This window comes from Homo sapiens, chromosome 1 (genome assembly GCF_000001405.40).
Source record: "Homo sapiens chromosome 1, GRCh38.p14 Primary Assembly".
Classification (NCBI taxonomy): Eukaryota; Metazoa; Chordata; class Mammalia; order Primates; family Hominidae; genus Homo; species Homo sapiens.
The window spans coordinates 84,471,590-84,474,028 of record NC_000001.11 but is presented as its reverse complement, the minus strand read 5'-3'; positions in this window follow the sequence as shown (position 1 = coordinate 84,474,028).

Here is a 2,439-nt window from a genome sequence, read left to right as displayed (position 1 = left end):
AAATAGCCATTTCGGTTATTAAATGGATTGGCATAGTGTATATAGGGTTGGATACCATCTGCAGTTTCAGCTATCAAGTGGAAGTCTTGGAAGGTATCCCCTTCAGGTAAGAGGGGACTGTTATAATCTGACTAAAAAGCAGGAAAACTATCTGAAAAGATGTTTTCCTAAAAAAGACATACAGATGGCCACCAGGCATATGAAAAGGTGCTCAGCATCACTAATCATTAAGGAAATGCAATCAAAACCACAATGAGATATCACCTTACACCTATTATACACTATTATTATATTATACTATATTTACTATATACACTATTATATTATACTAATATTATACACTATTATTAAAACAAAAGGTAACAAGTATTGGCGAGGATGTGGAGAAAAGGGAACACTGTTACGCTGTTGGTGGGAAGAAAACTGGTATAGCCATTATGGAAAACAGTATGGAGATTTCTCAAAAAATTAAAAATGAAACTACCATATTATCCAGTAATTCTACTTCTGGGTGTTTATCCAAAGGAACTGAAATCTGGATCTTAAAGAGATAACCACACTCTCATTTATTGCAGCATTATTCACAATAGCCAAGATTTTGGAACAACCTAAATGTCCGTCGATGGATGAATTGACAAACAAAATGTGTTATATACATTCAATGGAATATTATTCAGCCTTAAAAAGAAGGAGACCCTGCCCTTTGGGACAACATGGATTGACCTGGAGCACATTATGCTGAGTAAAATAAGCCAGATACAGAAAGACAAATATTGTATGATTTTACTTCTGTATGGACTCAAAAAAGTCAAATTCATAGAAGCAGCAAGTAGACTGGTGGTTGAGTAGTAGAGGTTGAGGGGAGAGAAAAATGGGGATATTTTGAGCAAGGATATGGATTCTCCATTATGAGATGAATAAGTTCCAAAGATCTAATTATAGCATGATGACTATAAGTAAAAATGCTGTACTGTAAACTTGTAATTGACTAAGAAGGTAGAAGCATTCTTTTTTCCTTTTTTTTTTTTTTTTGAGATGGAGTCTCGCTCTGTCACCCAGGCTGGAGTGCAGTGGCTCGATCTTGGCTCACCACAACCTCCGCCTCCCGGGTTCAAGTGATTCTCCTACTTCAGCCTCCCTAGTAGCTGAGATTACAGGCATATGCCACCATGTCCGGCTCATTTTTGTATTTTTTAGTAGAAATGGGGTTTCACCATATTGGCCAGGCTGGTCTCGAACTCTTGACCACCTGATCCTCCTGTCTGGGCCTCCCTAAGTGCTGGGATTACAGGTGTGAGTCACCTGCCTGGCCAAGAAGGTAGAAGCATTCTTAATGTAGGGGGATAAAAAAGTAGCTGTGTGAGGTGATGGATATGTTAATTAGCTTGATTATGGTGGTTATTTCACTATATATGTATATTAAATCATCAAGGTGCATATATAACCTTCAATATATACAATTTAAGAAGTTAAAGTTGGCTGGGCATGGTGGTTCATGCTTGGCCAGCATAGTGAAACCCCATCTCTACTAAAAATACAAAAATTAGCTGGGCATGGTGGCACATGGCTGTAATCCCAGCTAATCGGGAGTCTGAGGCACCAGAATTGCTTGAACCCAGGAGGCAGAGGTTGCAGTGAGCCTAGATCGTGCCTTGCACTCCAGCCTGGCTGATAAAGTGAGATTCTGTCTCAAAAAAACAAACAAACAAAAAAAGTGAAGTCAACAAGAGTAGAATTAATACAGTTTTATGAGGAGGCATTGGAGTCACACAACCTCCCACCCAAAGCTGAATTGGAGTGCTATTCAGATATTGAAAACCTGGGAAATAATTGTATGCTGAATACAGTTATCTCTATATACTCCATGCTATGAAACAGACATAATACATGTGCTGGCTTTTTAGAAACCAAAATTATATTAGCAAACCAACAGGTCTTCATATTATGTCTTTGGTATAGTTTCCAATCATTTCCTTCAGGCGTTTTACTTTTTTCAGGAGACCCTAAACTTGGCCATGATGGTAAAGGATGCAAGGACAATCCTCCAAATATTTTCCAGGTAGCTTGATTGCTACCAACAAGGTGAGCCATTTAGATAAATGGGAATTTTTATGCCTGTTAATATTTCCAGAAAGTGCATAGTTCCACACGAGTCTTCTCAGTTGATCCAAATTTCTGAGCAGAGAAAGAGCAGGGCAACAATCACATTGCAGTTTCACTAAAATATCATCTCTTAAAAGAATTTCTGGTTGTATGAGTCCATCAAAGGAGCTTCTATTTATATCTTTGGAATGTGTATGGTGCCTCTGGCTGGTGTTTCTGACTATAGGACTATAGATCAACCATAAATATAATTTAAATATCAATCTGGAATGGCTTTTTGGTGTCTAAGTATTTATTTTGTTGATTTATTCATTAAGCAAATATTTCAGTCATTCT